General features: G+C 33.7%; 1 long non-coding RNA gene across 3 annotated transcripts in view; it reads left to right on the plus strand.

The window, feature by feature from the left end:
- The window catches only part of LOC105373781 (uncharacterized), a 53,658-nt gene that overhangs the window by 24,396 nt on the left and 5,786 nt on the right, over positions 1-23,476 (plus strand). For 2 of the 3 annotated variants that reach the window (XR_923661.1, XR_923662.1), the window contains exon 3: positions 5,487-5,635. The exons of the other annotated variant lie outside the window; for it this stretch is intronic. This is a non-coding gene — a long non-coding RNA (uncharacterized LOC105373781). The remainder of the gene's footprint in view (positions 1-5,486; positions 5,636-23,476) is intronic. 3 annotated transcript variants of the gene reach the window in all.

Consider the following 23,476-nt stretch of genomic DNA (forward strand, 5'->3'; position numbering starts at 1 on the left):
TATATGTATATATATATATTTGGCTTTGTAATACATTTTTATTTATATTTATTAATTTTATTATACTTTAAGTTCAGGGATACATGTACAGAACGTGCAGGATTGTCACATAGGTATACATGTGCCATGGTGGTTTGCTGCGCCCATCAGCCCATCATCTACATTAGGTATTTCTCCTAATGCTATTCCTCCCCTTGTCCCCCACCCACCGACAGGCCCCAGTGTGTGATGTTCCCCTCCCTGTGCCCATATGTTCTCATTTTTCAACTCCTGCTTATGAGTGAGAACATGGGGTGTTTGGTTTTCTGTTTCTGTATTAGTTTGCTGAGAATGATGGTTTTCAGCTTCATCCATGTCCCTGCAAAGGACATGAACTCATTCTTTTTTATGGCTGCCTGGTATTCCATGGTGTGTATGTGACACATTTACTTTATCCAGTCTAACATTGATGGGCATTTGGGTCAGGTCCAAGCCTTTGCTATTGTAAATAGTGTTGCAGTAAACATACGTGTGCATGTGTCTTTACAGTAGAATGATTTATAATCCTTTAGGTATATGCCCAGTAATGGGATTGCTGGGTCAAATGGTATTTCTGGTTCTAGATCCATGAGGAATCGCCACACTGTCTTCCACAATGGTTGAACTAATTTACACTCCCACCAACACTGTAAAAGCATTCCTATTTCTTCACATCCTCTCCAACATCTGTTGTTTCCTGACTTTTTAATGATAGCCATTCTAACTGGCATGAGATGGTGTCACATTGTGGTTTTGATTTGCATTTCTCTAATGAGCAGTGATAATGAGCTTTTTTTCATATGTTTGTTGGCCATATAAATGTCTCCTTTTGAGAAGTGTCTGTTCATGTCCTTCGCCCACTTTTTGATGGGGTTGTTTTTTTTTCTTGTAAATTTGTTTAAGTTCTTTGTAGATTCTGGATGTTAGCCCTTTGTCAGATGGATATATTGCAAAAATTTTCTTCCATTCTGTAGGTTGCATGTTCACTCTGATGATAGTTTCTTCTGCTGTGCAGGAGCTCTTTAGTTTAATTAGATTCCGTTTGTCAATTTTAGCTTTTGTTGCAATTGCTTTTGGTGTTTTAGTCATGAAGACTTTGCCCATGCCTATGTCCTGAAAGGTATTGCCTAGGTTTTCTTCTAAGGTTTTTATGGTTTCAGGTCTTATGCTGAAGTATTTAATCCATCTTGAATTAATTTTTGTATAAGGTGTAAGGAAGGGATCCAGTTTCAGTTTTCTGCATAGGGCTAGCCAGTTTTCACACCACCATTTATTAAATACGGAATCCTTTCCCCATTGCTTGTTTTTGTCAGGTTTGTAAAAGATCAGATGGTTGTAGATGTGTAGTGTTATTTCTGAGGGCTCTGTTCTGTTCCATTGGTCTATACATCTGTTTTGGTACCAGTACCATGCTGTTTTGGTTACTGTAGCCTTGTAGTACAGTTTGAAGTCAGGTAGCACGATACCTCCAGCTTTGTTCTTTTTGCTTAGGAATGTCTTGGCTGTATGGGCTCTTTTTTGGTTCTATATTAAATTTAAAGTATTTTTTTTAATTCTGTGAAGAAAGTCAATTGTAGCTTTATGGGAATAGCATTGAATCTATAAATTACTTTGGGCAATATGGTCATTTTTATGATATTGATTCTTTCTATCCATGAGCATGGAATGTTTTTCCATTTGTTTGTGTGCTCTCTGATTTCCTTGAGCAGTGGTTTGTAGTTCTACTTGAAGAGGTCCTTCACATTCCTTGTAAATTGTATTCCTAGGTATTTTATTATCTTCGTAGCAATTGTGAATGGGAGTTTGCTCATGATTTGGCCCTCTGTTTGTCTATTATTGGAGTATAGGAATGCTTGTGATTTTTGCACATTGATTTTACTCCCACACAATAACACTGGGAGACTTTAACAACCCACTGTCAATATTAGACAGATCAATGAGACAGAAAATTAACAAGTATATTCAGGACTTGAACTCAGCTCTGGACCAAGCAGACCTAATAGAAATATACAGAACTCTCCACCCCAAATCAATAGAATATACATTCTACTCAGTACCACGTAGCACTTATTCTAAAATTGACCACGTCATTGGAAGTAAAACACTCCTCAGCAAATTCAAAAGAAGGGAAATCATAACAAACAGCTTTTCAGACCACAGTGCAATCAAATTAGAACTCAGGATTAAGACACTTGCTCAAAAACTGCACAACTACATGGAAACTGAACAACCTGCTCATTCATGACTACTGGGTAAATAGCAAAATTAAGGCAGAAATAAATAAGTTCTTTGAAACCAGTGAGAACAAAGACACAATGTACCAGAATCTCTGGGACACATCTAAAGCAGGATTAAGAGGGAAACTCTTAGCACTAAATGCCCACAGGAGAAAGCAGGAAAGATCTAAAATTGACACCCTAACATCACAGTTAAAACAAGTAGAGCAGCAACAGCAAACAAATTCAAAAACTAGCAGAAGACAAGAAATAACTAAGATCAGAGCAGAACTGAAGGAAATAGAGACAATCAAAAATCAATGAATCCAGGAGCTGTTTTTTTTGAAAAGAATAACAAAATAGATAGACTTGTAGCAAGACTAATAAAGAAGAAAAGAGAGAATAAAAAATGTTAAAGGTGAAATAACCACTGATCCCATAGAAATACAAACTACTATCAGAGAATACTATAAACACATCTACACAAATGAACTAGAAAATATAGAAAAAATGGATAAATTTCTGGACACATACACCCTCCCAAGACTAAACCAGGAAGAAGTCGAATCCCTGAATAGACCACTAACAAGCTCTGAATTTGAGGCAATAATTAACAGCCTACCAACCAAAAAGCCCAGGACCAGATGGATTCACAGCTGAATTCTACCAGAGGTACAAAGAGGAGCTGGTACCATTCCTTCTGAAACTATTCCAAACAATAGAAAAAGAGGGACTCCTCTCTAACTCATTTTATGAGGCCAGCTTCATCCTGGTACCAGAATCTGGCAGAGACACAACAAAAAAAGAAAATTTCAGGCCAATAGCCCTGATGAATATCCATGCAAAAATCCTCAATAAAATACTGGCAAATGAATTCAGCAGCACATTAAAAAGCTTATCCACCACAATCAAGTTGGCTTCATCCCTGGGATGCAAGGCTGGCTCAACATATGCAAATCAATAAATGTCATCCATCATATAAATAAAACTAATGACAAAAAACACATGATTATCTTAATAGATGCAGAAAAGGCCTTCGATGAAATTCAACACCCCTTCATGCTAAAAACACTCAATAAGCAAGGTATTGATGAAACATACCTCAAAATAATAAGAATTATTTATGACAAACCCACGGCCAATATCATACTGAATGGGCAAAAGCTGGAAACATTCCTTTTGAAAACCAGCACAAGACAAGGATGCCCTCTCTCATCACTCCTATTCAACATAGTATTGAAGTTCTGGCCAGCGCCATCAGGCAAGAGAGAGAAATAAATGGTATTCAAATAGGAAGAGAGAAAATCAAATTGTTTCTGTTAGCAGATGACATGATTGTATATTTAGAAAACCCCATTGTCTCAGCCCCTAAACCCTATAAGCTGATAAGCAACTTCAGCAAAGTCTCAGTATGTCTTCTTTTGAGAAATGTCTGTTCATGAGTTAACTTCTCTCTGTCAGGTATAAAGGATAAAAATTATTAATATTTAAATATGCTTTTTCTACAATATATAGTTATATTTGTTCCCCAAAATTGTACATAAATCTTTCTTATCAAGCCCTTTGATCCAATTTATTTTTATTATTTATATATGTTTGCGAGTGTAAATATTTTCAGAATGACATTAAATTTCATTCTTAAGTATTATGTAAGTAAATGTTCTACTTACTAATTACATTTTAAATCGCTCATATTAAATTTTAGGATTATGAAGTCATTTGTCAATATTTGTGTCAGAAAGTTTTGGAATCAATCACATAAAGCAAGAAGCTTAGATATAAAACCATCTGAAATATGCTAAAATAATTACATACAATCATATACCACATAATGACATTTTGGCCAGTGAGGGACCACATATCTGACAGTGGTTATATAAAATTATAATGGAACTAAAAAATTCATTTTTGCCTGTAGACTTTGTAGCCATCATAACCATATCGCAATTACTTTTTTTTCCTAAATGTAGGACAGTTTAAGTTTTTAGTGTTTATAAAGTGTATAGTAGTATATAATAATGTCCTAGGACTTCATATTCACTCAACACTCACTCACTGACTGATCCAGAGCCGCTTCCATTCCTGCAAGCTTCATTCACAGTAAATGCCCTATAGGTGTAAAATATTTTACATTTTATACCATATTTGCTCTTTCTCTGTTTAAATATGTTTAGATACACCAATATATACTATTGTGTTATAATTGTCTGTAGTATTCAGTACAGTAACATGCTGTACAGATTTGTAGACTAGGAGCAATAGGCTAGACCATATAGCCGAGGTGTGTAGTAGGCTATACCACCTAGATTGTGTAAGTACACTCTACAATGTTTGCATAATAACAAAATCGCTTAACAATGGATTTCTCAGAATGTGTCCCCATTGTTAAGTGACATATGAGTGTATGTGCACAGAAGTCTCAAAGTAATGGGTATGGTGTAAATTGGTTAAATGAGTAATGTATATTATCATTGCCATTAGCTATACCTGTATTACTGGAATAGGCCATTATATGGTAATCATATTACCTTTTAAAAACACAAATTATTTTCTTTGTAATTAAATTTGAGAGACAGAATGGACACATTCATAGCGAGTAAGATAAAGTTCTCTCAATCCTCAATAACTGATAGCATTTTTTAGTGTTTTCCATGTTCCAGGTATTGTTTTCAGAGCTTTATGCAGGTTTATTAATTAATTCTTATAACAACACTAGGGGTTAGATAATATAATTGCTTCATCTATTTCGCAGGTGGTGCAATATAGGCATAAACAGCTTAAATAGCCTGTCTGAAACCCAGCAGTAGCAAATTCAAAAGACAAAATTTTAACCTTGGCTTTCCCATGAAACAGACAATCTACTTTCATGTTGCCTTCATTAAGGAGTTTAAAGATACATGTGACTATGGAGTAGGGAGTGACCAGGTAGATATCAGTGATAATAAAGGAAATAAAAAGAGGGGAATCATCATTGTTGAAGCCACAAATTAAGTCATAAATTACATTCAACTGAGAGCAAACAGGGAACTCTAAACTAAGGAAATTCAATAAACGTGAATGTTATATCTCTAATAAGCAAATTAACCTGTGATTTTATCTTTTCATAACTTATGTTCTATCTTGGTCTAGTTTGTGTAATTAAAATACTAGTGATTTTTGCAGTTAGTTTAATGTGAAGATAAAATGTATAAATCCTGTTATGGGTGTGTGGCACGTAGTAAGCACTGAATAAATAATTATTTGATTTCCTAGGTTATCTTAACAGTCTGCAACAATATACTGAGAGAAGCACTAACGAAACTGCATTTCTCTGTCATGCTGTGCCAGCTGTAGTATGTGGGAAACCTTGTCTCTCCCAAGTACCTTCTGTCTCTGGCAGCTCCATGTAAACTTCAGGAATGGTCAGTGCTGAGCTTTTAGTTGCTGTATCCACCATCTCCACAGACCAAGACCCAGTGACTTGCATTTCTTGCCTCCATGTCCATGGCTTATTTTCTCCCTACTCAGTTATGTTATCCTACTTCATTCACCGATGTTGTAGACACTGTTCTGAATACTTTTGTTCTGAGCTGTGAGCTTAATCATTCCCATAGGGGTTCTCTTTTCTAAAAATGGTCATAATTGTCACAATAGTATCACCTGTGGATTGACTGAGGTATTATTAGAAACAACAAAAACTTTACCTGGCTTACTTACATAAAGCATGGGAGTAAACAAACTAAATTTATTAGAAGTGCATTGGAAATATTACAGAATCAAAAGAAACCTAGAGAAGCAGCATTTGTAGAACATCAGCAGAAAATACAATGGTGATAGCACCACAGAAATAGTCTGTTGGTATGCCCTGCTGCCACGACTGCATACTCATCATGCTCTTGCTGGACAATACACTTTACCCCTGCTCTAAATTACATCTGGCTTTCCTGGTTTTTTTGAGTCACTCCTTCCATGCTCTTAAGGTGAAAAGTCCTAACCTGCCAAGATTATCAATAATGTCTAAGCCTTGACTTTTAGGATAAAAGATGAAATGCTATAGTTTACTTTAGTACCAAAATTTGAGAAGGATTCTACATCTAACAAAGACTTATTCATGAAGTTTAATTGCTGCATTACTAAAATACCACAAATATGCTCTATACCTTCTCATTAAGCATAAATGCATACTGCATCAGAGGCCAGATTATAACATCTCCATTTACTCTGACAGGACCGTGTATTTTTCTTTCTGTTAGAGTTTGAGACATATATTCATGCCTCAACAACTACACCACTATAAAGGCAAACTAGCAGGTATTATTAGAGCCACCCCATTCAGACTAAAGAAAAATACCAAAATGTCTAAGAACAAGTTCTTATCTACAGGGCTGAACGTGTCTTTAGAGGCATATTAAGTGGTAGCAAACATAATGCAGAAAATCATGAGCACTACCTTATAACTAACTGTATCTGCTCTAATGTACTCAAGATACTTATTTTTAAAAGACTAATTTTCTTTTATTTTTTAACTCCTTTCTCTATAAGTTTTCTAATAGGTTATTCTACCTAAAATATTTATGCTAATATGATAGTATTTATTGAATAGTCAGTATATGCCAGATATTGTTCTAAATCTTTCATTGGTATTAAACTTAATACCAAAAATAATCATCAATTCTTATTATCTCCATTTTACAGATTAGGGAACTGAGCTAAAGAGAACTTAATTTACACATGCATGGACATGTGTGTATAGATATATATAGAGAGAGGAACAGAGACACAAAAAGAGATTAAGAGAAACTCAAACACATCTGTGTTTGTGATACAGTAAGGTTATAAAAGATTCTTGAGCTAAAATGACAGTTTGATATTGTCAAAGCCAAATTTGCTTTATAAAATACCAAATCATCTCTCTTAAGAAACCACTGTGAAAAGGTAGACAGGAAATATCTGCATGTGACAGCACATCAATGTTCAATTGTCTCAACCATAAAAAATTTAATAAACACAACCAAAAAATGGCAGTCTGACACTTTTTGAGTTTTACAACACAGAAGTAATTTTGTACAGAATGAATTAGATTCAGGGAAACTGTTGTTGTAGGAAATCATTGATCAATGGATTTTATACTAAGATGATTGGTTTCTCTGGCTTTTCTCAGGATGATTCATCGGTTGGCTGCCCACATTAGGTATTTTGGAGCACAGTGTTCTCTCGTTGGAAATCATTCTTTTTGTGAAAGCAGAAATGACAGACACTTAGCAAACAGTTTAAAATTTGCCTCTGTGCTTGCCACTGAAGTTGTGCTTGGTAGCAAGTTAAAAAAAAATGGATGCAGCTGTCTCACTGGGGTATTTGTCATTTCCTTGGAGTACATATTCCATGTATCTAGAGATCTCTCAGTAGAATGGCTGGATGATATACAGTTTACATATTGATAAGAAACTTATTTAATTTTTAATGTCTGTCATTCAAATACTAAAATACAAGTTTGCTTAATTCAGTTTGTCTTAGTTTTTCAAAGAACAGGGAATATCTTGCTAAATAGTGTTTTGAAATATAAAAAACAGAAGCAAATAGACAGCCAATACAAATTTAAAATATTATGATATATATTAAAAATTTTATTTGGTAGAAATATGTTAAAATAAAATATTCAATAAAAATAAAAATATTTCAATAAAAATATTTGATGATGTCTGATTTACACTAGAGATAACGGTTATCATATGTTTCTATAAAAGAAATTGTAAACTTATTTGTAAAGAAAATATTTGTAAATTATTGTATTTTAGTTGAACTGTTAACTAATATATTTAAATAATTTATTGTAAACCACCAAATGGTATAATTTTTATTACATATCTAGAAAGATATGACTAAATGATAGTAAGTTTTACTCTAAGAGCTGTCCATGCCAATTATGTAATTTAGCTTTTATGTTGAATCTAAGCTCTAGCATTTTTAAGAAGCTACAAACCAAAAAATTACATGTATAATACTTACAGGAATCATTTATTACTTTCCAGATATTAAAATATTTTTAAAACAGTAGACAGATTTCAAATACATCATTGAGGCATTTGTTGTCATCATAAACTCTGAAAAACTTTGTAATTTTGAGTTGGTCTGGTGATAATTTCCAGGCCTTCTCCCAGTAACTGTTTACGGAAATAAAAACTTTCTTCATCTCCCTGTATTTTGTTTTTGTTTTTGTTTTTAAATTTCTTTATTTGAATTTCTGCATTTTTATTAAAACGTGTTATTTATAATGGAAAAAATTAAATGATTTAAAAATTTCTGTAATGTAATATTATAGCAATTACTATTAGGAATAACTACAAATCAGATATGATACTCCGAAGAGATTGCAAAAAAAATAAAAAAATTAAAAAATAGGTTTGATGATAATAATATTAGCTATTATGTATGCTGAGAAGTTACTATGTATACTAATTCAATATTTTATGCTATTAACTGAATGGTGATACCCATTAATGCATTAGAGTTCCAAAAACCTTATTTACTCCAGATACAAATAACAAATAAATGCCGGTTATTCAGATAACTATGATTTGTACTTTTCTAGAGATTATTATTACTGTACTTTAAGTAAAAATGAAAATTCTTAAATAAAAGTTGGTCTGAAATTATACAACATTGTAATAGAAGGAATCAAACATACAGAAATATCCTGAGTAGCTTAATTCTAGCTTTAATAATACCATACAACTTCCTTGTTAATAAATTATAAAGATAGCACTTAAAAATACCTATATATCTATCATAATTTTGAACATATATGGAAATAGTTCAAGAAAAATACTAACCTATGGACTCTACTGGAATAAAAACAATAATACAGTGTGATAAGTAGAGAGATTCTAGTATTGAAAGTTGAAAGTTGTCCAGTTATAGAAAACAAGTTAATATAATTCATCTCAACAATTAAATGCAAAATATACCTTTGAAAAGCAATCCTCAAAAAGTATTCCATGTTAAATCTTAATAAATTTTTTTCAAAAATCTAAATGTATTAGTCAGTGTATAAATTTTACTAAACAATTAATCCCCAAATGTCATTTACCTAAGACCAAAATGAATTACTCCACATTTAACATTCTCATTGAGGTTAGTAATGGAGGTAGGGTAGGACCAAGTCAGATTTCGACTTCACAAGATCAATTTCTGCATTCCTGGTGAAAAAAAAGTTTATTATCACAACATATTTCAAGAAAAATGTTAAGAAATTGAGAGGAAATAAAGAATAATAAGTATTTTAATAAAATTATCATCATTTGTGCATAATACAATTATTTCAAAATCTCCAGAAAAACAGAAACTAGTAAAATTAACTTTAAAAAATTTATCAATTAAAACTGCTTACTTATTTAAATGGCAATACTTCTGAAAAGGCGATCTCCAAAAGATCCATATGAAAAAAGACATAAAGTAAAAAAAAATCTGCTCTATAGATGTACTGATTTATTATATTATATAATTTGAGTACAACATAATACTTTGATATACATATACATAGTGAAATAATTATTCCTGTTAAGCAAATTAACATATACCTCTCCTCACACATTTTCTCCATAATAAAAGCACTTGAAATTTGCTCTCTTAACAAATTCCCAGTGTATAAGATAGTATTTTATTAACTATAGCCCTCATGCTATACATTAGATCTCCAGACTTCTTCATTCTACATAACTGCAACTTTGTATTACAACTTTAACCCTACATCATTTATGGCCTGGTAACCACTCTCCTACTCTCTACTTCTTTGTATTAGACCTTTGTAGATTCCACATATAAGTGAGATTGTGAAGTATTTTTCTGTGTCTGGCTTATGTCACTTAGCAAATTGGTAGAGCCATTATAGAAAATAGTACAGCGGTTCCTCAAAAAATTAAAAGTAATCCTTTTTCTGGGCATATATCCAAAGAAAACAAAATAATTATTGTACTTTCAAGAGGCAATTTATGCACTCATGTTTATTGCAGCATTATTCAAAATTGCCAAGACATAAAAATAACTTGTTTTCATCCATCAATGAATGGATAAAGGAACTGTGGTGTGTGTATGTGTATGTGTGTGTATTTAAAAACTGTATATTATCCAGCCTTAGAGAAAAGGAAATTCTGCCATTTGCAACAAAATGGATGAAACTAGAAGACACTGTTGACTTTAGATTTGATGGAAAAAACATTGACTAAATGAGCAAAATGAGCAATGTGCCTTGTTCTTGAATAGCAAATCTTAATAGTTCCATAAGTTCAACAATATTTTATAAATTCTATACAGGCTTAAACACAACACAAGAACAATAAAAAATTTTAGGTGGAGTGATAAGAATTTGACAATATTGGTTCAAAGATTATCTAGAAAAAAATAACAGGTAACTGTGAAACTGAATAATCCTGATGCAGCATTTACCCTGAAAATATAAAATTAGCAGAAGAAAATATAATTATACCAAAATATTGGTCTCATCTTATGGGATAAATGTCATCAAAATGTTACAAAAGGCAGAAACTATAAACAAAGAAGGGGATAGTATTGACTTTTTTTTTTGTTTCGCTATTTTGCTAATATATTTAAAAACACTTGGTATTTTATTGACAACATGTTTGTATCTGTATTTTTGTGTGTATATATATTATATACATTTATGTATATGTGTATAGTCACAGTATCTGTATTTTATACACATGTTTTACAAGTCAATAAGAATATATGAAAACTTGGTTTAAATTAGGCAAGAAACAAAAATGCCTATTTGCTGTTCATGTATCTTTCATAGTAGGTAATAAATTTCCTTTTTGAAGTATCTTAATGTCATCTAGATCTGCGATCTCTCTATTCTTACAGAAAAAATAGTTTACAATACCTGAGAATTGCATTTTAAAGAAAAAAATCAAATCATATTGATTTGTAAGCTATAATTTTCTAATTAACACAATTTTGGAGATTTTGGAGCCTAAAAATTTTTGCCATTCAATATTTTAAAGAGTATTCCAAAGATACCCTCTATGTGTCAACTCATTTTTCAAAAACTTTAATGTTGGCTGCAATTCCAGCAGAGTTATTTTGAGTTGCTCAAGCTCAGCATTTTCATACCCTCTGTCTTTCAGACAACATACGTAATTTGTGTTTTAAATACCACAGGAGAAAAAATTATGAAAACTAGAACGAACTAATATATACAGAAATGCATTGTTAATTTTATCTACAAACAGGCCACTCCATCTGTTCAAACATAATGCTCCAAACCAAGGAATATGTTCCAAACCAAAGAGCATGATATTTGACAGATGGAGAGGTCTGTAAGCCTGTCTGGAGCATGGAATACTATAGAGTTTGTCAGAGGGTCCAATTTTCCACACTAAATGAAATCTAATAGAAATTTCTCCCTAATAAACATCAAAATCAACACCAATTTTACCAATTGCTATGCACCATAGACCAAATCATTTTATCTATTTTCTTCCCCATACAAAAGAAACTTGTGTCTACTTTCTGAGTTGATTTTCTACTTTCATGGCTGTTTTCCTACATAAATAATTACAAATGTCAAAAATATTTCATATATAACAAAAGGCAAGAATGTGTCAACCCTAGGATGCTTACTCTAGCATAAAAATATCATATGAGTCCTATTTTTGGAACAATTAATTATTTAAAGATTGTGTCAACAGTATAAAAGATCTGGAAAAAGCCTAAGATAGGTTTTGATAAATATCTTCACTTTATTGAATTAAACCAAAACAAGATGTCTAATTGCCTTCCCTAAAAGCATGCAGCCAGTGTGAGGCTAAATAAGATTTCTATGCTCTTGTCTAGGGATCAGTTCTAAAATCCATCATTCTGTTGTGTGATGAAGGACATGGGAGATTGTCTCATTATTAAAATTTCAATGCAATTAAATTAGACAAAAACTTCGCTGAAAATGTCTGTGTTATACGGGTTGCTAGGAACTGGGAATACTATTTCAATTTCTACAAATTAGTTGTAGTCTTACCAAATAGAGCATGAGGTCATCCAGTGAGAAATGTGTAGACAAAATATATTAACATTGATGGGTGTGACATTAAATCTCAGTAATTAAAGCGAGGACATAGTTCAGTATCTAATTTCAGTATTTCAAAACTCAGAGCCACTTAAGACTTTGCCTGTCAGTAAACTGGGCATAATTTAAACCTTGCTTCTAGCCCTGCTCAGTTCAAAACCTGGATAGTAATGACTTATGTCCTACCACCTAGGAGGATTTTTAGGGCGGCCAAGAGCAACCTTATAAGGAATTCAGAAATTTAGTCAAAATTTCCAGTGGGAAACCTTAGGGGGAGCCAACTTGTAGCTTCTTCAGAAGAACTTCATCATATATGAACTGCTGTTCTAAAGATACATCCTTTTACTCCACTTGAAAGAAATGGAATATTCAAGCAACTAGACTACAAATTTAAAGACTGAAGGACTTACTCTTCATTTCTTGGATATGAGAACCTTCATATTATGTAAAATTCATGTAAAACCAGTACTTCATAGCCATACTTGAACTTGAGCTAACCAAATGGGCCTTCTTTCTCTAGCCATGAAATAAATATTTCTAGATTTTTAAGTTGAATATTTCAGCCTTCAGTTGCTATATTATCATTTTGATGGTCATTTATTTCACCATATTATTCCTACATAAAATGCTCTAAATATTCTATCTCTCAAATTTACATGACTCTATTTGATAGTATTTTGTGTTAACATATACATTCTAATGATATACTTCCAAAATGCGGTTCTAAACTTATTTCCCGATTATAGTAAGTGTTACTGACCCTGCATCTCTTCATACCAATAAAATTAATTGGGAGGGTGTTTTCAGTACCCGAGCAGCAGTTCAGATACTTCTTTGAATATCAGGGTAATTTCATCCCCTCTTTTTAGTACTTGCCTATTAATATGTCTCCACACCTTTTATCCCCATTTCCTTTTATTTTTCTTTTGATTTCTAACCTAGCATATGACTTGTAACACTGATAACTGCTGATGGCAGATAGTGTGTGTGTATGTGTGTGTGCACACGTGCATGTGTATTGAACTTTACCCATGAGTTTGAGAAAATAAAACATACTTAGAAAAAGAAGTTAAACCTCTCTAAGCATTAGAAAGTTCTTATTTTCATCTGTGACACCAGATTGCCCCTACGCATTGCTCTTCTTCTAATTCCTACTTAACATATTCACTTTTCAATCTAATTAGCATTTTAGTGTTAATATATCCAAAATAAATTTTTGATTCCTCCATGCGAATAAAAAACTTAATGATGTTTTTCATTATTTCCCACCTCAAAAATCATGGCAAAACCAATTTAATTTTATTTTAAAATAAAGAACCATCATTATTTATACTCTTATACTGTCCTTCACATTTGATTCATTGACAAATTCTCTCAGTTTCATTTTTGAAATACATTTCTAATCACTCCAAAATTATGTATCACCAAGGTCTAGATACAGGCAATGATTTTCTCTTTTGGGAGCTAATGTAACATAATTTTTCCATTGCTGAAACTACAGTCTATTTTCCATACTGTCCTCAGAATATTAGTTTATTGTATATCTTCTTTATTGCTTCTTTCAGCTTTTTCCTTCCTTTCCTTGTTTATTCATTACTTTTTCCTCCCTCCCTCCCTTTGTTCCTTCCTTTCTTCCCTCTTTCCTTCCTTCTTCCTTTCTTCTTTCCCTCCTTCTCCTCTCAAATGAATCACATTGCAAGTCTCCTCTTCTTTAATCTTTTATATTAAGTTCCGTTATATGTACAGTAAAATCAAAATTCTACCATGGCCAACAATTTGACCCTACCTCACTCTCCAAGCTTAATCATGCACCAGTCTGTTCTTTCTCAATATATTCCAGGTATAGCTCAGTTACATCTCAGAGTCTCTGCATTTACTCTTTACCTTGTAAAAATCTTCCTCAGGTTCTGAGCATGACACTCCCAATTATCATTCAGTTTTTCAAATGTTACCATCTCTAGAGAAAGTGCTTGCCTGGCCACTCTATTTACAATTCTGTACTGCTCCACACACCCACAATTACCCTCAGTGATTGCTAATTTTATTGTCAACGTGACAACCACGGTGATATTTTCTGGTTGTGTTGCCACCCAAATCTCATCTTGCATTGTTGCTCCCATAATCCCCACATGTCATGGGAGAAACCCAGTGGGAGGTAACTGAATCATGGGGGCGGGTTTTTCCCATGCTGTTCTCATGATAGTAAGTCTCGAGATATGGTGGGTTTATAAAGGGCATTCCCCTGCACATCTCTTTTGTCTGCCGCCATGTAAGACATGCCTATGTTCCTCCTTTGCCTTCTGCCATGATCGTGAGGCTTCCCCAGAGTCCATTAAACCTCTTTCCTTTATGAATTGCCCAGTCTTGGGTATGTCTTTATTAGCAGTGTGAGAACAGACGAATACACATGGGGGTACCCAGATATTTGGTTAAATGTGATTCCTGGATGTGTTTATGAGGTTGTGTCTGGTTGAGATTAACATTTAAATTGATAAAGCAGATTGTCTTCCTTAATAGGGGTGGGCTTCATTCATTCCATTGAAGGCCTGGAGAGAATAAAAGGCTGAGAAAGAAAGAATTCACTCTCTCTGCTTGTCTTTGAGTTGGGACATTGTTACTCTCTCCTTCAGACTCAGACTCTGACTGGAACTTGCATCATCAGCTCCTGCTTTTCAGGCCTTTGGATTCAAACAGGAACTATATCACTGGCTCTCCTCCGCCTAGACTTCTCAGTCTACATAATCACATGAGCCATCCCTTCACGTCAATCTCAGCTTTCCAGCATGCACCTCAAAACCCTCTTGGTCCCTACCCATTACTCAGTTTCAAAGCCACTTCCACAATTTAGGTATTTGTTACAGTAGTGCCCCACCTCTCATTACCATAATCTTTATTAGTCTGCTTGAGCTACCAAAACAAAATAATATAGACTGGGTGGCCAAATAATAGACATTTATTTCTCACAGTTCCGGGGGCCATAAATCCAAGACAAAGTTGTCTGCAGTTTTGGTTCTTATTAAAAGCCCTCTTCCTGGCTCACTCTAATCGCCACCTTATCACTCTGTGGCATTTTTTTATGACAGCTAAAGTAGATGAATACACTCTTTATCCCCTTTAAATAATGAAACATCTGAATATTAATGGCATATATATATATATATAATTTGTCAGGAAACTTCTCCGTTTATATTCAAGCTAGTATTCACAGGTTCATTTATAGTTTCTGGCAGGTAGTCTTTTTCCAACCCAATGTTTTAATACAGTTCTAATATTAATCCTGCCCTCTTATTGTGGAGCCTATGACAAAAGTACAAATAAAAGCCTTCTTAATAAATGCCCAAATATTTTAAAAGTATAAATCAAGAAAATCAAGCATTACATAAAATATGTTCTATATCCTGTTTCAAGAAATATAACTATATTATTCAGGCTTCTCCAAAGAAATAGAACAAATGGAATCTCTCCCCAGCAAGCTGGAAATTCAGGTAAAAGTTGATGTCTCAGTTTTAAGTCTGAAGGTTGAAAACTCAGGCCAAATTTCTATGTAGACATCTGGAGGCAGAATTCCTTCTTCTGCAGGAAACCTCGATATTTGCTCTTAAGGCTTTCAACTGATTGGATGAAGCCTATTTGAAGTCTGATCAAGAAAGTAGGTACCATATTTTAGCAATTAATATGCAAAACTAACCATTACAATAAACATTATTATTAACTACAGCATTAAAATATATAAAGTTTGTCTTCAATAAAACTACATAAAGGCAACACATCAAGGATGAATGAATTGAATTATTATCCTACACACCTGGATGTTATGTTGATGGGACAATGAGATTTGGATGAGTATAGAAGACATGTAATTCATAAATATATTTTTGTAACAAAATATATTTGTATTGCCTTCTTTTTACAAAGTCATTATTTCTTATAAGAAATAATTTCACATAATGTGTATTTTATTCAGTTATGATCTTAAATCATAAATGATAAATAATTGTATTTAAAGTATCCAAAATTTGGATATCAAATTTTAAAATTAAAGTATATATATTTTCTAAGCAGTTATTTTTCTTTAAATATTAAATGTTATTTATTAAATTTAAATTAATAAAATGTAAAATGTATTCAAATAAATTTTATTTGTAAATTTAATTTAAAATTATGAAATATCTAAAAATGAATTTATTTACAATTCTACCATTAAATATTTTTCTATTTGGCAACATAATAATTGGTATCAGGCTTCATGTGTTACTTATAAATGTATGAATAAAATTTTAAGTTATATAAATAAATGTTTATCAATAGCCATGTAAAATGTTTATGAGTACTGTACTAAGTGATTGCCTTGAAAATTAGCAGTGGGACTTATGGCATTCAGATACAGTCAACTTTTGTTTTGAGGACATTGCTCAAAGGACACAGAGAAGCATGTTCCTGGGTCCTGGCATGTGCGAGGTAGGCATGAGAGTAGATGTTTAAGGTCACAGGGTGCACTGTATCAGTATCATGCAGCAGATTCCAAGTGACAAAAGTGCACATGTGTATTTTTTAGATTATGTTTTGTGTGGTTTCAGTATTAGAGACTTACTGAAGGGCAGGGCCCAGAGAAGAATCCCTTCTTGTCATGTTCTAAGGCTAGCACATTCTAACTTCAATACTTATTGTATCTATCTTCTACAGAAAGTCACCTGAGTTCTCTGAACCTCTTTATCTGTGAAAGCATTATAAAAATATGGGTCTTTCCTAACTACGAAGTTTGAGAGAATCAATGTTTGTGTACAATCTCTATGACACAAAAATGTTAGACATCGTTATTGATATTTCTTCATTTTTGCTGGATATTTTTCTCATGTTGTTGTCTGTAATAGGCATGATGGTGCTGCACAGGCTACACTTTAAGAAGGACTTTGTGTAGCAGTTGATAGAAGTACTGTCAGTAGATAACCTTCAGCTGTCAGCCTCTTCAGGGTTATCTCATCTTCAGAGTGGCCTCACCTTTCCTGAGGCAGCCCACTTGATGAGCCCTGTTAGTAGCAGGATTCCTCATGGGGGCAGCAGAGGATCATGTAGGGACTCGTTTCAACTTGACTTCTCCCTATTTCCTTCCTCTATCCAAACTCCACTGAAGGATTTGCTTCAGTGGAGTTTAATACCACAGTTGATGCTAAGAGAAGTCAGGTATATAGGTTAATAAGGTAATATTTGGCAGTAAGATCATGAACTATCATCTGGTGACATAGATTCTGTTTTACTGCTCAAAGCTCCTAGCAGAAAGGGATGGTGCAATTGGTTAACTTTCATGGGTGGAGCTTTAGGATGGTACACCAGTGGAAAGATAGTCAAGGTGGTACAATATATTAGGTATCTGAGAAACATAAAGTAAATAGTAACTTCAAGGACAATAAAATGCAGTGGCTACTACTAAGATCAACAGATGCTAAAAAGTAAATAGGGAAACGCTGAGATCAATTAACAGGCAATCAAAAGTTAAGTGTGAAAGCCAGTGGTTTCATTAGTAGTAAATAAAGAGGCTCACATCTGATTTGAGTTGGGTGGGGGACTATGTTGAGAAGACTAGTTGAGAAAACTCATCCAAATAATAGCATCAATTACAACCATTCATGTGTCAGACATTTTAGTCTTGCTACATAGGTCCTTTCCAAATGAAAGAGCTAGAAATGTGTTCTTGTAATAGGCATGTATTCCAGGTATGAATTTTCCTCTTCTGTTTGAAAGGCAGCAATTTCACAACTAGATGGCTTATGAAATGTCATAGGATCCAACATAACATTATGTCAGACCATGGAATCTCTATTAGAGAAGAGGAACTACAGATGTGTGCTCATGTCTGTTAGTTCTATTGATTGATTGTATCACATTCTCCATCAACTAGGAGCTACTAACCAGCTAAAACAATGCAACAATCTGCTGTGGGCACAGCTGAAGCGCCACCTGGAAGAAGATACCTTGAGAGGATAACAAGGATGAGCCACAAGACACTATATTGTATATAAAGCATATAATTTTAATCAAATATTCCTACTTCCCCAGGAGTCTTGGGAATAGGAAATTTAACTACACTTACTATCACTCCCAGTGACCTTCTCAGGGGATCTGTGCTTCCTATTCCTACAACTTTGGGCTCTACAATGTTAGAGGCCTGGGTCACTAAAGGCAGACCACCTTTTCCAGGAGACACAACAAGAACACTATTGAGCTACAGCCTATGCCTGCTGCAGGGGCACTTTGGGATCCTTCTGTCTGTGGTGCAGAAGATTAAAAAAGAGGAATCACCACATCGGTAAGAATAATTGAACCTGATTATCAGAAGGAGGAAGGGCTGCTTTCACAATGGAGGCGGGGAGAAATATGTTTTGAACCCAGGTGATCTGCTTGGATGTCTCTTGGTACTTATTTCCTTGAGCAAATGTAACTACAAATGAACAGGTACAGTACTCCTGGCCTGAGAAGAGGATGTTGACAAGGGACTTGGATCACTGATGGATAAGGATTTAGCTATGACAAGTAGAAGTGGTTGCCAAGGCTAAAGGTGATTTAGAACAAATAGTAAAGAGATGATGAGTATCAGTTATGTTCCCAAGACCATCTCCAGTGGTTCTTCCCAATAATCTTATTGCTACTTGCCAATAATCTAACTCTTCTAACATTCTCCCAGAAAGACAGGTCTGCCAGAATTTTGTAAGAACCCTGAAAAAGCTGCTTTATAAAGGTATAAAAGGAGTTGAATCCATGAGGCACAAGGGATGGCAGTGATGGGCATGGAGCTCTGACACCCAGATCATCCGGGTAGGAAAGAAGAGTTTCTCCAGCCCTTGGGCATACTGTCAGCAGAGAAGTTTCGGCTGTCAGTTCTTGGGACTGCCTCAACTGCAGAGTGGCCTCACCCAAGGGTATGCCTGTCTTAGTGTAGCTCAAATCCAATGACCAAAGAAGGTAAGGATATCAAAGTCTGGCCATTTAGCTCAACACAGGATAATGCTGGGCCCATATTTAGCTCCAGAGTTTTCTGTCAGATCAGTGAACTTTTCCCACCACCCATCTTGCCTTTTGTACCCTCCCTTCCACATTGGTTCGTTCTAAGAACACCCCAATAAACATCCCTACACTAAACTGTGTCTGTGTCTCAGAACCTACTTCCTGAATAACCCAATCTGCCACTCTGTATTGATCTTAACATTGGCTTGAGTTTGCCTTTACCTATGCCCGAGGGCATGCGTAATCACTTTGTACTCTAACAGAAAAACAGTGTAGTTCTAAAGTCTCTTTGTTTCTTGATTGTACCCTTTCTGTATGCCTAACATTAGAATTAATTCATCACACTTGTGTGAGCTGTGTCTGTTTTGAAGTCTTAGCCCTCTTTGCTTTTAATATCTAGCTTTGTTTGGAATTCATACTGCTTAATTTGCCTATTTCTAGCCTACTATGGTGCTAATTTATTTTTGTCACTACAAAGCATAAGCCAGATGAATAGAGAGAACAACATCACCTAAAGGGAACACAACTCCAAGAAAAGTTTGGTAACAACTGTAATCACAGTCTATTGATTTAAATATCTCCAAAATAATTTTGACAGTTATTCAAGTAAATCCATTCTCCAGTAAACATTGAATTTCTGCTACAACTATTTTTATACATCTGAAAATAAGGTGTCATATATCCATGGTGAAAGGGGACTATATTGAGATATTTCTAACATTTAAAATTCTCATTCATTCGCAAGTAGTAAAACTCAAGACTCTGTCCCCTCTATGCTTATAACTAAGAACTTTGTTTAGATTTGCTGAAAACCTGGAGGTATGGTAAATTTTTTTTTATTAGAAATTCAGTTTAATGTGTCCTCAATGTGCCAAAGTTGCTATAGTTACTCTATATTTTTTAAATTTTTGAACAGTATGTGCCTAATTTGTAATCCAGTACTAGCCTGTTTTACTTAAAGTAACTAATTTAGAATTTGCTTAACTGGATTATTTTGCACAGTAGAGTTATTGATTTTAGCTTGAGAGTTTTAGCCTCAACGTCTCACTCCCAAATTTTATATTTATTTTAAACATGTGCTTAGAATCCTCATCAACAATGTCTTCTATATCTACTTCACAAGCTTAGAAAGGTTTAAAAAAGTTAAAAAATTGAAAATACTTTGAAATCATAAATCTTTTTTACAGAATATTAATACTATTTGGCGATTGCCAAACAATTATTTAGTCAATGTTGAAAGTTTTACATTAAATACCTATCTATTAATAATTTGAATAATTTGTACTGAGCTCTTTTGAGATATATTCTATTCTGTGCAAACATATTAGTATTACAGTTCTCCAGGAGAACAGAATAAATAAGATGTCTATCTATCTATCTATCTATCTATCTATCTATCTATCTATCTACCTACCTGCCTGTCTATCTATGATCTATCTATCTGTATCTATCTATCTATCTTCTGAGAGAGAAAGAGAGAATGAGGTTTATGTTAAAGAAGTAGTTCACAGTAATTGTGGAGGCTGGCAAATTCAAAGTCTGCAGGATAGGCCAGCAGGCCGGAGACCTAGGGAAGAGCTGGTAATGTTGAAGTCTGAAAACAGTCTACTGGAAGAATTTTCTCTTCGTTATGGGGGGTCAGCCTTTTTCTTAAGGCCTTCAGCTGATTGGATGAGGTCCACCCACATTATGGAAGGTAATCTCTTCGTTTATAGTCTATTAATTTAAATACCAATCTCATCTAAGAAATACCTTTACAGCAGAATCCAGATGTGTTTGATCAAATATAAGGATACCGTGACCTAGCTAAATTGACATATGTAAGATTGACCATCAATACATACACACACAAATACATGGTGTCAGAAAATGATAAATGTATATGTCAAGGCTTACAGTTTAAATCAGGCAAGAAGTAGAATCTTACTTATGCAATATTACTCTCAGTAGCACAAGGCACATTATCCATGTTAATGGTAGGAATGTGGAAGAAAAGGAATTTGACATTTTTCCTATGTTATACATTTCAGCGTAGATATCAGTATCTGTCTACTTGTAATTGGATCTGCCTTTTTAAATCTAATTAATTACAAAATAAGATTAATGCAATTAGCTAAAACCTCAAAAATCTAAATTGCAGGCTTAGTAGCATGCAATAACTATTGGTATCAGTTATGTTGTTTGGAGCAAAACTAGTCACTCATAATGGTGTAAACAAAAAAGAACATTAGAATTACTTATGGAATATAAAATAGAGACTTTCCATAGACCTCACTCACATATTCTGATTTTGTAGGTTTGGAGGAAAGCCTTTCATATGCATTATTAAAATATTCAATAGATTGTTATATTTCACTACTGAATGAGAATCACCGGTACAGAGCATGCTGTAGAAGACAAACAATAACTAGCCTATAGAATTTAGAATAATCTGGAAAGTAAAAACACTTAGTGCTCATTTGGCAGGCCAATGAATCGGAATTTAAAAGGACATGGATTCCAGACACTACTACTAATGTAGTAGAGACAGAGCTTCAGGAAATGAGAAGTTATCCAGACAGACAACAACAGCATAATAGTTGGAAATACGATCAGCTAGGCACCAGGTTGGTAGATAAAACAGAAAATCTGTGTCCAGCAAAATTGGCAATTGATATTTATGAGAATATCTGACAAAAATAAATCCTAGTCAACCCACTGGTTATCTAGATAATTTCCAAAGAATAAGGCTTGAGAGAAGAGCTTCTGAACTTGAGAGATCAGGTGGAGATAGAGTAAAATTATAGTTTGGGACAAATGTAGGGGCCATGAGCAATTATAAGAAAGAAAGGAGGCATGTGTACTGAATTTTTGTTTCTTACTATTTCATGCTCTCCTCTATTCTTTGCTGTTATTGTTGCTTGGTTTTTGGTTTGTTGAGGTATAATTTATATAAAGTAAAATTCATTTTTTAGGAGTGCTGTTCTATGAGTTTTGACAAATTTACACAGTAAGTGTCAACATCACCATGATTAAGATATAAAATATTTCTTATTTTCTTCCCAAACTTCCCTAATACCCCTTTGTAGGAAATTACCTTGCATTACCCCCAGCCCTTAGCAAGAGTTGATCTGATTCCTGTCCCTGTATTTTCTGTCATTATAGTTTCAAAGTGTCATTTAAGTGGAACCCTTCCGTATATAGCCTTGGTTCATGGCTCATTCTGTTTCTGAGTTAATTGGCATTGTTTGCATGCATGACAATTTTCTCATCCATTCACCTGTCGATGAATATTTGGGTTGTTTCTAGCTTTTGATGATTTTGAATAAATCTGCTATAAATATTCACAAACATATGTTATTTAGCTATATCTTCATTTCTCTTTGGTAAATAACTACGAGTAGAAGTGTTAGGCCATATGGTAAGACTGTTATCTTTATATAAAACTGTCTTATTCTTTTCCAAAATGCCTGGGTCATTTGCAACCACAGCAAGAATATATGAACATTCCAGTTGCTCTGTATTATCAAGTCTTTTATTTGAAATAATCTGATAGGTGTATAAGAATATCTTATTGTGGTTTTCATTTCCATTTCCCACTTTGCGTCTTGTCTTTCCATTTTCTTCAAAGTAGATTTGAAAGAGCAGAAAATTTTAATTTTAATGAAGTACAATTTATCAATATTTTATTTATTTGTATTATTTAATTTGTCCTACATACTGATAATTGTTTGTGTCCTACATAATCTCTGCATAACCAAAGGATGCAATGTCCAAAAGATTTCCCTATGCTTTTTTCCTAGAAATTCCCTAGCTTTATGTCTATGATCCATTTTAAGCTAATTTTTGTATGTGATGCCATTAGGAGTAGAGAAACACATTTTTGTACATGGTTGTTCTATTGTTACCTATTTATTCATTAAAAAGACTATCCATTATTAACCCTTGACCACCTTACGAAGCAGGAAATAATCATTTACATAGATCTTTTTCTGCATTTTCTTTTCTGTTCCATTGATCTGTGGGTTTATACTTTTGGCAATGCCACACTATCTTGATTATTGTAGCTTTATAGTTATTGTTACAATGAAGCAGTGTAGATCTGCAAAATTTGCTCTTCATTTTCAAAATTATCTTTGCTATTCTATATGCCTTGTTTTCTATATAAATTATAGAATCAGCTTGTGAACACAAAATTGCTGATGAAGTT

This window comes from Homo sapiens, chromosome 2 (genome assembly GCF_000001405.40).
Source record: "Homo sapiens chromosome 2, GRCh38.p14 Primary Assembly".
Classification (NCBI taxonomy): Eukaryota; Metazoa; Chordata; class Mammalia; order Primates; family Hominidae; genus Homo; species Homo sapiens.